The sequence below is a fragment of the Homo sapiens genome, chromosome 12 (assembly GCF_000001405.40).
Source record: "Homo sapiens chromosome 12, GRCh38.p14 Primary Assembly".
NCBI classification, from domain to species: Eukaryota; Metazoa; Chordata; class Mammalia; order Primates; family Hominidae; genus Homo; species Homo sapiens.
Window position 1 is genome coordinate 95610937 of NC_000012.12, and position 14219 is coordinate 95625155.

The following is a 14219-nucleotide window of genomic DNA, read 5'->3' on the forward strand; positions in this document are numbered from 1 at the left end:
TCTAAGATTACGGCGACCAGAGTTACTTCAATTTTAACTGGTGAAATAATTTAAAAATTGTTATTTTCTTCTTCTTCTTTCTTCTTTCCTTTTTTTTTTTTTTCTTTTTTGAGATGGGATTTTGCCCAGGTGCTATCTTCGCTCACTGCAACCTCTGCCTCCTGGGCTCAAGGGATTCTCTCGCTTCAGTCCCTCAAGTAGCTGGGACTGCAGGCATGTGCCACCATGCCCCAGCTAATTTTTGCATTTTATGTAGAGACGGGGTTTCACTATATTGGTCAGGCTGGTCTCCAACTCCTGAGCTCAAGTGATCTGCCCATCTTGGCCTCCCAAAGTGCTGGGATTATAGGCATGAACCACCATGCCTGGCCCCCAAAATTGTTATTTTCAAGTCTAAAATTTCTTTCAGCTTCTACATGACAGATAATTCTCCTGACAAAATAGTCTTCCTTTTTAAAAAATGTGAAAGATAGTTTTGACTTGTCCAATAAATGAAGCTTTATCAGTGGTTGTGTGTATGTGATTTTGTGAATTTTTTTTGTTTTTTTGAGACAGAGTTTCACTCTTGTTGGCCAGGCTGGAGTGCAATGGTTCACTGCAACCTCTGCCTCCCAGGTTCAAGCGATTCTCCTGCCTCAGCCTCCGAGTAGCTGGGATTACAGGCATGCACCAGCATGCCCAGCTAATTTTGTGTTTTTAGTAGAGACGGGGTTTCACCATGTTGGTCAGGCTGGTGTCGAACTCCTGACCTCAAGTGATACACCTGCCTCAGCCTCCTAAAGTGCTGGGATTACAGGTGTGAGCCACTGCACCAAGCTGATTTTGTGAATATTGCAAATGTATTTGTGGAACAAAATGGCTTGGAGTCCCTCTTAAATGAATGCCCTGTTGTTCTCATCATAGCAATCCACCTACTGCTGTAGGCTTGATGTTATCACTCCTGCCATTCGGGCAGGTGTCTGGAGGGTGGAAGTAGGGACAAAGACCTTAGAAAAGTGGTAGGGTGATGAGAGATAGATTGGGAATTAATAGCAAATCAGGAAAGAAGCAATTAAGTAAATGACGAGAATTGAGGCTGGTTAGAGTAGGTCTGAGAAGCAGAGTAGATACTTTTCTCATTTTAATGAATGCTAATCAGCTGGCCTAGTGAAAACCTCCTCCTGATATGCCAAACACAATGGCTTATGCAAACATTTGATAAAGCATTCTCAGGTGTGTTAGTCATTAAGCCATGACCTTGGGAACAGATTGCATGGCTATATTCCTCAGTCATTTACAGTACACACACAGGTCCATAAATGCAGCTGTGTGAATATAATTAATTACTAACAATTCTTATTTTAGAAGTGGTAGTATCTTGAGAGTAATCCATAGGTAGTGGACAAGAAATAATTAAAAGCTGTTCTGCATTGAGCCTAGCCAGAAGCTCTAAAAGCTATTGTGCTATACTGTCGGAAAAAGGGGAGTTTAATTAATTAATTAATTCATTTATTTATCTTTCTTTTTTTTGAGATGGAGTTTTGCTCTTGTTGCCCAGGCTGGAGTGCAACGGTGTGATCTTGGCTCACCGCAACCTCAGCCTCCTGGGTTCAAGTGATTCTCCTGCCTCAGCCTCCCGAGTAGCTGGGATTACAGGCATGCACCACCACACCCAGCTAATTTTGTATTTTGAGTAGAGGTGGGGTTTCTCCATGTTGGTCAGGCTGGTCTTGAACTCCTGACCTCAGGTGATCCGCCCGCCTCAGCCTCCCAAAGTGCTGGGATTGGGAGTTTTCTTTAAAAGCGATAAAGGACAAGCCCACTGAGAAAGTTATCTGTTGTTACCTAGGATAGTCTTCCTGGTGGTAAAAATCCTTTGGAAACTTTTTTTTTTCTTTTTCTTTTTTGAGACGGAGTTTCGCTCTTGTTGCCCAGGCTGGAGTGTAATGGCTCAATCTTGGCTCACCACAACCTCCGCCTCCCGGGTTCAAGTGATTCTCCTGCCTCAGCCTCCCGAGTAGCTGGGATTACAGGCGCCCACCACCACACTCGGCTAATTTTTGTATTTTTAGTAGAGACAGGGTTTTACCATGTTGGCCAGGCTGGTCTCAAATACCTGACCTTAGGTGATCCACCCGCCTCGGCCTCCCAAAGTGCTAGGATTACAGGTGTGAGCCACCGTGCCTAACCTGGAAACTATTTTCTTCCATCTTAAAATCGAACAGCTGAAATAAATCCGTCCTCCCAAGTTAAAGCATACATCAGGAGGATAATGGGAATCTTGTGAGTCAGAGTTTATCAGAAAGATGAGATGGCCAGGGATGAGGCCAGGCAGGGAGAGGCAATGCTATTAGGACCAACAGATGTAGTCACTGTTGTCACTGACTCTGGTCTTCTGGCCAGGATTGGATCTTTTAGAGCAGCAGTTTCCACATCCAAGCGTCAGACACACTGAGGTGTTAATATCTATTAAGTCAAAATCTTTGGGAACGGGGCTTGAGAATCTTAAAAAAAAAAAAACTTTTCACTGGGTGCAGTGGTTCACACCTGTAATCCCAGCGCTTTGGGAGGCTGAGCGGGGAGGATCAGAATTTTTGGGGGGGCTTTAGCCCAGGAGTTCAAGACCAGCCCTTTTTTTTTTTTTTTTTGTAGAGATGAGGCCTCCCTACGGGCAACATTAGCTGGGCGTGGTGGTGCATACCCCTAGTCCTAGCTATGTGGGAGGATTTCTTGAGCTCAGGAGGTTGAGGCAGCAGTGAGCCATGACTGCATCACTGCACTCCAGCCTGGGTGACAGAGTGAGACCCTGTCTCAAAAAACAAAACAGCAACAGCTTTTCAACTCAGCCAGGTTAGAAGCTACTATCTTGGAGCTTTCCCATTTTCAAGTTGTTAGATCAGTGACTGTGGCCATTTGGCCTAGTGGGGGTTTCTTAAAACAACAGCCTCCAAAGGGAGGATGTTGGAAGAAAACATTAGAAATATTTATATATTTAAAAATCTCATCCTTAGCCAGGAGTGGTGGCTCATGCCTGTAATCCCAGCACTTTGGGAGGCTGAGGCGGGCGGACCACTTGGGGCCAGGAGTTCGAGACCAGCCTGGCCAACATGGAGAAATTCCGCCTCTACTAAAAATACAAAAATTAGCCGGGTGTGGTGGTGGGCACCTATAATGCCAGCTACTTGAGAGGTTGAGGTAGGAGCATTGCTTGAACCCGGGAGGCAGAGATTGCAGTGAGCCAAGATGGCGCCACTGCACTCCAGCCTGGGTGACAGTGTGAGACTCCATCTCAAAAACAAAAACAAAAACAAAAACCTCATCCTTTAAAATGTTCTGTATTTTTATGTTTTATCAAATGCATAATATATGAGGTCATATTATATGATATAATTTAGAAATAAATATACATATAGTGGGATTTGTGCTCAAAATGTTTTATTGGTAGAGTTGAGCAGTCAAAAAAAAAAAAAAGTCTTGGACCCACTACCTTGGAGGGCTTGAAAAATGAAAACTTATCCTTAAGAGGCAGGTATCCAAAAGCGATGTTTGGCCTTCAGAAGTAGATATAATGGACCATATACTTTTAGAGTCACATGACCAACCCAGACAGGACAAAGATAAAATTCCTGGACAGAATAGTGGCTTAGCCACTGATAGCTAGAGAGGCAGCTTGATGTAGCCAAAAGAGAACAGGCTTGGGAGTCAGCACATCTGACCTCAACTTGGAGTTCCGCCACTTCATAGCTGGGTTTCCCTAATCTCAGTCCCAGTTTTCCAATCTGTAAAACAGGAACAGAAACACTTAAGTTGCAGGAACCCCTTGAGAATTAAGTGAGATAATGTATTTAACAGAGGTCAGCATGTAGCTGGTACACTATAGGATGGTAGCTCTTGTTACCAACAGCTATTATTGATGGTACTATAGGTATAGAGGCAGTATAAGGTAGTGGTTGATAGTATGGGTTCTGAATGTCTGAGTTGGAATTTTGGCATGGTCACTCATTAACTGTATTAAATTGGGCCAGCTGATGGTAATAATAATATAATATAATAGTAGTATGATGTCTGGCTCATAATATATGCTTGTTTTTTGTTTGTTTGAGACAGAGTCTCACTCTGTTGCTCAGGCTGGAGTGCAGTGGCACCATCCCGGCTCACTGCAACCTCCACCTCCCGGGTTCAAGTGATTCTCGTGCTTCAGCCTCCCAAGTAGCTGGGATTACAGGCCTGTGCCACCACCCTGGCTAATATTTTGTAATTTTAGTAGAGATGGGGTTTTGCCATGTTGGCCAGGCTGGTCTTGAACTCCTGAGCTCAGGTGATCCGCCCGCCTTGATCTCCCAAAGTGCTAGGATTCACTGCACCCACCCAATATATGCTTAATAAATATTAGCTGCTATCAACCTCATCATCATTGTTATCACCATTATCATCATCATTACATCAGTTTTTGGTTTTTCTTTTTCTTTTTTTCTTTCTTTTTTTTTTTTTGGTGATGTGGTCTCAATCCTGTCTCCCATGCTGGAGTGCAGTGGTGCAATCATGGCTTACTGTAGCCTTGACCTCCATCCCTGGCTCAAGTAACCCTTTCACCTCAGCCCCCCGGAGTAGCTGGGACCACAGGCACATACCACCACGCCTGGCTAATTTTTTTTTTTTTTTTTTTTTTTGTAGAGATGAGGTCTTGCTATGTTGCCCAGTCTGGTCTTAAACTCCTGGGCTCAATGTTTTAATTGTAATGTGAGGCAGTATCAGACTGAATAATCCTGGACCTGCTGAAAAAAGAAAAAAGATAATATGAGGCAGTCAATGATAAATAAATAATTGTAGACATGTGGTTACAATTCTGTTATTAATCACCAAGTAAAATGACAGGGAAATCTGCTGGTATGGTTCCCTGATGGCATCAGTTCCTATACTTTTGTGTACACTAAAATCATCTGTGGGGCTTCTGAAGAAGGCAGCCAAGTCTATTTCCTGAATCAGAATTTTTAGGGTGGAGCTCAGGCAGCTGTGTTTTCCATGAGACAAATGAGTGATTCTTATACATAACAAAGATGAGAACCACTGATTATAGTGTCCTCCTCTCAACAGCTTTAGTTCTCCTCAATTACTTCCAACATTTCCCAAGCCCCAAGAAGCTCATTAAGATAGTGTTATATTACAAGTACCTCCAGGATCCAAATGACCATCTGGCTATTACTTGGTGCTTGGTAGGTTGTATTCTTAATTCAGATGATTAGGCCACTGGATGGAAGTTTTAAAATGCTTTTCTTTCATTTGGGGTTTACATTTTGCTTTTTAATTTTGCTTACCACCATGTCATATACCTTACTGCTCAAGACAAATATTCACAGTCAGAACTGGAAGGGAATTTAGAGTAACTGGTCCAATATCCATATTTTACTGATTTTAAGAATGAGGCTAGGGCCGGGTATGGTGGCTCATGCCTGGAATCCCAGCACTTTGGGAGGCTGAGGCAGGAGGATCGCTTAAGCCTAGGATTTCGAGACTAGCCTGGGCAACATAGTGAGAGCCTGTCTCTATTAAAAATATCTAGTAATTTATTTATTAAAAAAAGAGAAAGAGACTATACTCTTCCCTCTGTTTAGTTAGCACCAAAACCAAGATTAAAATTCAGTTTCTTTCTTTCTTTTTTGAGAGAGTCTCACTCTGTCGCCCAGGCTGGAGTCCAGTGGTGCTATCTCAGCTCACTGTAACCTTTGCCCCCCTGGGCTCAAGCGATCCTCCCACTTCAGCCTCCCGAGTAGTTGGGTCAACAGGCGTAAGCTACCAACGCCTGGCTAATTTTTGTATTTTTTGTAGAGACAGGATCTTGCCATGTTGCCCAGGCTGGTCTGGAACTCCTGAGCTCAAGTGATCCGCCCACGTTGGCCTCTAGAAGTACTGGGATTACAGGCATGAGCCACTGCACCTGGCCAGAATTCAGTTTCTTGATTTCTGGGTTTGTGTTCTGCCTCCACCATGTTAATAACCATCTGGCACTGAAAAAAGACAGCGTGTTCACCTTTTGGAACTCTGTTTCTTTCAAGTCACTAAAACGTCACTTAGAAAATGATCTCTCCCAAAACCTCAGAGGTATGAAAGAACTAGTGTTTTCAAAATGAGAGGACCATTTCTAAAGAAAAACTAAAATGAGGTTTTCTTATATTAGTTGTCCTCAATTTTAAGCTTTATCATTAAACAGAAATGATGGAAAATTACTTCCCATTAACACAACTCAGTTGAAATGTTTATATGTTTAAAATATCTGCAGAATTATACTAATGCTTAAAAGCACTGTGCCACAGAAAACTTTGGACATTAGCATTTATCTACTTGGAGTAACTCTTATCTATAGTGGAAGACAAAGCTAACACGGTATCAGTTATACTGTGTTAGTCACTGTTGTACTATTCTGTTGCTAGTACACCATAATATAGTATACCCTTCCTTTTAAAAAAAAGCCTGGGCCGGCTGTGGTGGTTCACGCCTATAATCCCAGCACTTTGGGAGGCCAAGGTGGGCGGATCATGAGGTCAAGAGATGGAGATCATCCTGGCCAACATGGTGAAACCCCGTCTCTATTAAAAATACAAAAATTAGCTGGAAGTGGTGGCATGCACCTGTAGTCCCAGCTACTCAGGAGGCTGAGGCAGGAGAATTGCTTGAACCTGGGAGGTGGAGGTTTCAGTGAGTGGAGATCGCGTCACTACACTCCAGCCTGGCGAAAGGGCAAGACTCATCTCAAAAAAAAAAAAAAGAAAAAAAAAAGCTGGTCCAAAGGTACTGTACTATTTCAACCGATTGTTCACAGTCAGTTACAGATTGTCTTTTCCTCCTTCTCACTACTGCACTTGACTAGTCTTTTTTTGTTTGTTTGTTTTTTTGTTTTTTTGAGATGGAGGCTTGCTCTGTCACACCCAGGCTGGAGTGCAGTGGCGTGATCTTGGCTCACTGCAACCTCCACCTCCCAGATTCAAGTGATTCTCCTGCCTCAGCCTCTCTAGTAGCTGGGATTACAGGTGCCTGCCACCATGTTCAGCTATTTTTTTGTATTTTTAGTAGAGACAGGGTTTCACCATATTGGCCAGGCTGGTCTCGAACTCCTGCCCGCCTTGGCCTTCCAAAGCACTGGGATTACAGGTGTGAGCCACCACATCTGGCCTTGACTAGTCTTAATAATAATAATAATAATAAAATATTTTAGGCATATAGAAAATAATATGACATCCATAGTGTAATGGTTAGCATTCTGGACTCTGGAAATAATATGACAAATAATATATACCCATTACCCAGCTTTAACAAATCTTAGCATCTTGCCATAACATGTTTCTTTCAGATCTGTTTGTTTCCTTTGAAGGAATAGCAGCACCAAAAAGTAAGATAGAGTTGAAATACCTGGTATATCTCTCCTCAGTCCTTCTCCTGTTAACCACTATCCTCAATTTGTTATTTCTCATTCCCATGCCTGGGGTATTTTACTTTGTTTGGGGGTATTTGTATGACTGTTTTATACTCTTTTTGTTGTTTTTGTTTTTGAGACAGGGTCTCACTCTGTTGCCCAGGCTGGAATGCAATGGCATGATCATAGCTCACTGTAGCCTCTACCTCTTGGGCTCAAACAATCCCGTCTCAGCCTCCCAAGTGCTGGGACTACAGGTGCACACCACCACACCCAGCTAATTTTTATATGAAGAGACAGAGTTTCACCATGTTGCCCCAGCTGGTCTTAAATTCCTGAGCTGAAGCAATCTGCCTGCCTCAGCCTCCCAAAGTACTGAGATTACAGGTGTGAAACACCACACCTGGCCTCTGACATCTACTCTTTAGATGTTTATTGATAATTCTTCCAAGTTATTTATTTTTTTCTAAGAGCTTTAAACTCTTATACATGGATATATAACTATTTATCCTAACACCTTTTATTGAATAGTACATCCTTTATAAACTAATTGATAATGCTATCTTTGACAGCTATCAAATTTTCAGAAATGAACCTAACCACCTTTTAAACTTGAGGTAATAGGAAACAGTTTGAAGGAATTTGCACAGTGAAAATATTTCAAAACTGTATCATCAAAATTCAGTAAAGGAACAAACCAACCAAACTGGCAAAATACAATTTTGCATCATTAAATAATTTTTTTGTCTTTTTTTTTTTGCAAATGTATATCAGTGTACTTCTTCACCAGACAATTTTGGCACAGTCTTCTATATTCTCCTTATTGCTTAGAAACCATAGAATGCAAACAAGTGCCTTACACAATTCTGTACCCTACAAAAGACCCGTGGCAGAACGAAATACTGCTTATTAGGTGGTATAGGGAAGGAGTAAGATGACGTTCCTTTTCTCTTTTTTTGAGACAGGATCTCACTCTGTCACCCAGGCTGGAGTGCAGTGGTGCAATCTTGGCTCACTGCAACTTCCACCTCCTGGGTTCAAGTGATTCCCGTGCCTTAGCCTCCCGTGTAGTTGGGACTACAGGTGCCTGCCACAACGCCCAGCTCATTTTTTTTTTGTATTTTTAATAGAGACAGGGTTTCACCATGCTGGCCAGGCTGGTCTCAAACTCCTGACCTCAGGTGAACCACCTGCCTCCGCCTTGCAATGTGCTGGGACTACAGACATGAGCCACCATGCCCAGCCTCTGTCGTTTAAAATCAATTTCGGGCTGGACGTGGTGGCTTATGTTTGTAATCCCAGCACTTTGGGAGGCCAAGATGAGAGGATTGTTTGAGGCCAGGAGTTCAAGACCAGCCTGGTCAACATAGTGAGACCCTATCTCATATTAATTTAAAAACAACAACAGCAACAAAAATCAATTTCAAAGGGTTACACTTTATTGTAGCATTGAAAAAAGTTACTGTGTATTTGGAAGGGCATGGACATATAGCTATGAGATATAAATTTCTTATAAGGGAACAAAAGTTGTCACTGGAAGACTGGCTTCCTCTTCATATTTCTTGATTAGCAAAAGTCATATGCTTTATTGCAGTGGTCCCCAACCTTTTTGACATCAGGGTCTGGTTTCATGGAAGACAATTTTTCTATGCACTGGTGGGGAAGGGGAATGGTTTTGGGATGAAACTGTTCCACCTCAGATCATCAGGCATTAGTTAGAGTCTCATAGGAAGCGCACAACCTAGATCCCTTGCATGCATAGTTCACGATAGGGTTCGAGCTCCTATGAGAATCTAACACTACTGCTGATCTGACAGAAGGCAGAGCTCAGGCAGTGATGCTCACTCACTGTTCATTTCCTGCTGTGCAGCCGGTTCCTAACAGACCACAGACCGGTACCAGTCCATGGCCTGGGGGGCTGGGGACCCCTGCTTTACAGGTTCCAAGAAGGGGAGCCACTCACAAATACATTATTTGATTTTGTCACTGTGATGCAGAAAGCGATTATGTCAAGGGCCTGGCAATGCAATGAAAGGAAATGGAAGTTGCCAAGTATAGGAGACATTGGTATGACTGATCACATATCATGAAAAACTCAGGCACTAGAATATGTCAACATTTTCTAGCTAATATTTGAAGAAAGCTGCCTAACTTCCAGTCACGTGTAATTTTACTGAGAAATAAAAACAAATGCAGAAAGCAGAAACAATGTGGTTTTTTTTTCTGAGATGGAGTCTTGTTCTGTCACCCAGGCTGGAGTGCAGTGGCACGATCTTGGCTCACTGCAGCCTCCGCCTCCTGGGTTCAAGCCATTCTCCTGTCTCAGTCTCCCAAGTAGCTGGGACTACAGGCATGCACCACCACTCCCAGCTAATTTTTGTAATTTTAGTAGAGATGGGGTTTCACCATATTGGCCAGGTTGGTCTCGAACTCCTGACCTCAGGTGATCTGCCTGCCTCAGCCTCCCAAAGTGCTGGGATTACAGCCGTGAGCCACCGCTCCCGGCCACAACCTGGAATTCTTTAATATGCCTTGACATTATCCTGTTAGTCCGCAAAGTGGTAAAGATGAGCAAGTTTTATGGTACATGGAGGTTCGCCACTGGATGCCGTACACCATGCTGTCCGTAAGAAGTGATTTGGAAGTTCATGAGGAAGAGAAGCCTCAAACTTTGATTGTAACAGAACACAACAAAGTGGAATATAATTGCATGAATAAATGTATGCTGTGGTTGATTGGTAAAACATTTTTGTGTGCATTTAATATACTGGTCGTTTTTGGAAAAAATAACAACCCTGCACCATATTGATGGTCTGTCTAAAAATCGATCACATTTTAGGATCAAAGAATTCAAAATGTCTCTTTTCTAGGTATGGGGCTTTCTCTTCTGTTACCACCTGCTTTTTCTTAAGGAATTCTGCTGTATTTCCAGTTCAAGGAAGGGATATAGGCTTTATGTTTTTTTTTTTTTTTTGAGATGGGGTCTTGCTGTGTTGCCCAGGCTGGAGTGCAGTGGTCTGATCATGGCTCACTGCAGCCTTGACCTCCTGAGCTCAAGCGATCCTCCAACCTCAGCCTCCTAAGAGGCTAACTAAGGAGCACACCACCATTCCTGGGTGATTTTTATTTTTTAAATTTTTTTTGTAGAGACAGGTTGTCACTACATTGCCCACATGGGTCTCGAACTCCTGGACTCAAGTGATTCTCCTGCCCTGGCCTTCCAAAGTCCTGGGATTACAGGTGTGAGCCACCACACCTGGCCTTAGGCATCATCTTTATCTTATAACAGAGGAGAGACTATAAAAAAAACTGGGTTAGACTTGAGCAAGCTCAGCTGGGACTGTCAAGGCCTGACCTGAGGTGTTATTTAGGAAAAGAATAATCCCGACTTTTGGAAGCATATTAAAGTGATTGTCCTGAGTCTCTGAGAGCAAGATCATACCTTTGTGGATTTCGGAGGTGGTCTCCATCATGGCAGTGGTAATTCCCAGGTCAGTCGTCTTGGAAGAAACAATTCCTGGGACTGGAAATAAGGACTTGGGCAAGCCTTAGCCTAAGGACAAAAGGAGAACTCTTTCTCTGGGTCTTTTGGCATTTTGCCTGGGAGGGCTTTACTTAGCAGACATACCAGTATACTTCCAGTGGTGGGGGTGGGACAATGTTTGACGGAATAATGCAGGTTGAAATCTATGCATGGAAGGTTTCCCCGTGTTGGGACCTGGTTCTCTAGGCGCTAAGAAGAGCCACATCTTATAACAGTTAAAAATTATTCTTCATGCCAGTGGTTCAAATATTAATGCGCATGAGCCAGGAACTGTGGCTCATGCCTGTAATCCCAGCACTTTGGGAGGCCAAGGTGGGCAGATCACGAGGTCAGGAGATCGAGACCATCCTGGCTAACACGGTGAAACCCCGTTTCTACTAAAAATACAAAAAATTAGCTGGGCGTGGTGGCGCATGCCTGTAATCCCAGCTACTCAGGAGGCTGAGGCGAGAGAATGGCGTAAACCCGGGAGACAGAGCTTGCAGTGAGCCGAGATGGTGCCACTGCCCTCCAGCCTGGACGACAGAGCGAGACTCTGTCTCAAAAAAAAAAAAAAAAATTCAAAAAGAAAAACCAAAAACAAATATTAATGTGCATAAATACCACCTGGGAAGTTTGCCATCTATGCAGATATCTGACCCACTTCCAGAAATTCTAATTAAAATTTGAAGTATTTAATGGGCATGGTGGCTCACACCTGTAATCCCAGCACTTTGGGAGGCTGAGGTGGGAGGATTGCTTTGAGACCAGGAGTTTCAGACCAGCCTGGGCAACATGGTGAAGCCCTGTCTCTATAATACACGAATTAGCCAGGCGTGTTGGTGTGCACCTGTAAGTCTCAGTTACTCGGGAGGCTAGGGTAGAAGGATAGATTGAGTCTGGGAGGTTGAGGTTGCAGTGAGCCAAAATTGCGCCAGTGCGCTCCAGCCTAGGCAACAGAGTGAGACTCTGTCTCAATAACAATAATAATAATAATAATAAATAAAATTCTGAATGTGGTCCTTAATCTTATTTATAACAAACACCCTAGATAATTCTAATTCATTTAGTTCACATTTTAGAAGATAGGTGATCTTATATTGTCTCCAGTTGGTTGCTTTTGAACCTTTGTGGAAGCCTTAGGTGGTGTTCTGCTGTGATGAGTCAGTCACTAGAGGAGCCTGTTGTGGGGTTACAAAGGTGTGGCAAAAGGGAGGACGATGCCTCCTCCTATGGTCAGAGCAGTGGGAGCGGTGGTGAGCAAGCTATGTTCTGTAGAGTGGCTGTCTCACTAGGGACATTGTGAGAGGCAGTGGCCTGAGTCAGGTTCCCGGATAGGTGGTAAAGTTGAAGTCTGCAAAGGTTTTTCAGAGGAAGAAATAAGAAGAATTAATTTTGGAGTCAAGGATCCAGACAGTGTAGCATAAAAGGGCTCAAGAGCACAAAGTGGTCTCCAAAAGATGGAAAAACTACCAATTAGCCAGGCGTGGTGGTGTGCACCTGTAGTCCCAGCTGCTTGGGAGGCTGAGGTGAGAGGATCACTTGAGCCTGGGAGGTTGAGGCTGCAGTGAGCTGTCATCACGCCACTGGACTCCAGCCTGGGTGACAGAGCAAGACCCTGTCTCAAAAAACAAAGCAAGACTGCTCTTCCTCCCCACTCTATCCCCAGATGTTAAGTAGTCAGCAAAGACTAATTTCAGTTTCCCTTAAGGGTGACAATCAGGAATAGAAGATACTGCTGCTTTTGGGAACCGCTCTTATTAACTAGGGCTGCCTTGGCAGCTCCCAGGGGTGCTGTGTCTTGACAACCTTCTCCTGTTTTTGTGTTTGGTAACTACCCCACCCCAACCCCTACCCTCTACCGCCCACGCCTCCTCAAACCTCCTCAAGCAGCCCAATGACCAGACACCGCAGCGTCGCCTCTAGAGGGCGCTTGAGTCTCTACCAAATCCCTGAGTGGCCTCACCAGTTTGGGATTCCATTTACATTCCAAGAAATTCCTTTTTAAAGGTTACACAAGAGAGGCAGGCCTGTGGAGCCCTAATTGGTGTTCTTCAGTTGCCAAGCCCAGGCCTAGGTTCTTTCTCTCTCCTTGAGGTCAGGAAATCTTTTTTTTTTTTTTTTTGAGTCAGAGTCTCGCTCTTTCGCCCAGGCTGGAGTGCAATGGCCCGATCTCCGCTCACTGCAACCTCCGCCTCCCGGGTTCAAGCGATCTCCTGCCTCAGCCTCCCGAGTACCTGGGATTACAGGCGTCTGCCACCACACCTGGCTAATTTTTGTAGCTTTAGTAGAGACGGGGTTTCACCACGTTGGTCAGGTTGGTCTCGAACTCCTGAGCTCAAGTGATCCACCCACCTCGGCCTTCCAAAGTGCTGGGATTACAGACCTGAGCCACCGCACCCGACCTAGGAAATATTCTTGAATTTTCCAAAGGTACTCCCTTTCCAGTGCTCCCACCTCCTCCCTGCACCTGCAGGGTGTTGGCGGTGGAGACTCCCACCTTCTTCCATCAGGACCCATTCTCAGGAGTCTAGTGGTCTTGGTAACAGCCCTAATCTCCTTTTTCTGTGTTTTCCCTAGAAGGGTGCAGGACCCTAGAGGTTGCCTGGGCTCAGGGACTGCTGTAAGGGTGGATCTCAGAGCATCCTATGGTAGGTCTGCAAACTAAACCCTGAAAATCAGCCCCCAGAAGTCCCAGTAATGTCCATTTCTAGGCAAGAATAATTAAAAAGTTCTTTTATGTCAACCCAAAGAAAGGCAGTTTTGACCTTTTTGTCCTCGACACATTGTTTGCTCGAAGTAAGAAATGTTCACGTGGAATAGCTGCCATTAATATGGGTGACCTCAAGGTTAGTATCGCTCAGGGAATGCCTTTCATTGTTCTGTATTGTTTGTTTCCCTTTTGTGAAATTCTGTGGCCAAGGGAACTGCATAGTTCCAGGATGCGGTCCAGTAGCACATTACTAATTGCATACTTTAAAATACAGATTTATGCTGCTTCGTTGGGCCATACCAGGAGAGAAACCAGTGCAGGGGGCTATAAAGCGTCAAGGTTATAAACTTCATGGGGCTTTCAGGCAAATAAGGAATTTTTATTAATTCTTTAAATGCAAATGTCCAGTAATGTCTCCACTTGCCCCACCCCCTGCAGCGCTCCAGGTAGGAAAGAATTGCAACCTGCTAGCTGGTGGCCGAATGGAAAAAAGAGTGATTATTCATGGGGTCTCTGATGTCAAATAGTACATACAGCTGAATATAAAAGACCCTCCTTCTCCCCCACAACCTACTCCTTTGCTAAGAGCACAGGTA

The 14219-nt window shown here is 44.0% G+C and overlaps 5 annotated features.

The window, feature by feature from the left end:
• Positions 228-796: an enhancer, noted in NCBI's record as "H3K27ac hESC enhancer chr12:96004940-96005508 (GRCh37/hg19 assembly coordinates)". NCBI's record gives its function as "activates a minimal SCP1, AML or CMV promoter by ChIP-STARR-seq in primed H9 embryonic stem cells {active_cell/tissue: H9 hESC(primed)}" and the evidence as "EXISTENCE:reporter gene assay evidence [ECO:0000049][PMID:30033119]".
• Positions 797-1365: an enhancer, noted in NCBI's record as "NANOG-H3K27ac hESC enhancer chr12:96005509-96006077 (GRCh37/hg19 assembly coordinates)". NCBI's record gives its function as "activates a minimal SCP1, AML or CMV promoter by ChIP-STARR-seq in primed H9 embryonic stem cells {active_cell/tissue: H9 hESC(primed)}" and the evidence as "EXISTENCE:reporter gene assay evidence [ECO:0000049][PMID:30033119]".
• Positions 4054-4681: an enhancer, noted in NCBI's record as "H3K27ac hESC enhancer chr12:96008766-96009393 (GRCh37/hg19 assembly coordinates)". NCBI's record gives its function as "activates a minimal SCP1, AML or CMV promoter by ChIP-STARR-seq in primed H9 embryonic stem cells {active_cell/tissue: H9 hESC(primed)}" and the evidence as "EXISTENCE:reporter gene assay evidence [ECO:0000049][PMID:30033119]".
• Positions 11811-12765: an enhancer, noted in NCBI's record as "H3K27ac-H3K4me1 hESC enhancer chr12:96016523-96017477 (GRCh37/hg19 assembly coordinates)". NCBI's record gives its function as "activates a minimal SCP1, AML or CMV promoter by ChIP-STARR-seq in primed H9 embryonic stem cells {active_cell/tissue: H9 hESC(primed)}" and the evidence as "EXISTENCE:reporter gene assay evidence [ECO:0000049][PMID:30033119]".
• Positions 12773-12842: a silencer, noted in NCBI's record as "silent region_4739". NCBI's record gives its function as "represses an Ori minimal core promoter by ATAC-STARR-seq in GM12878 lymphoblastoid cells {active_cell/tissue: GM12878}" and the evidence as "EXISTENCE:reporter gene assay evidence [ECO:0000049][PMID:35858748]".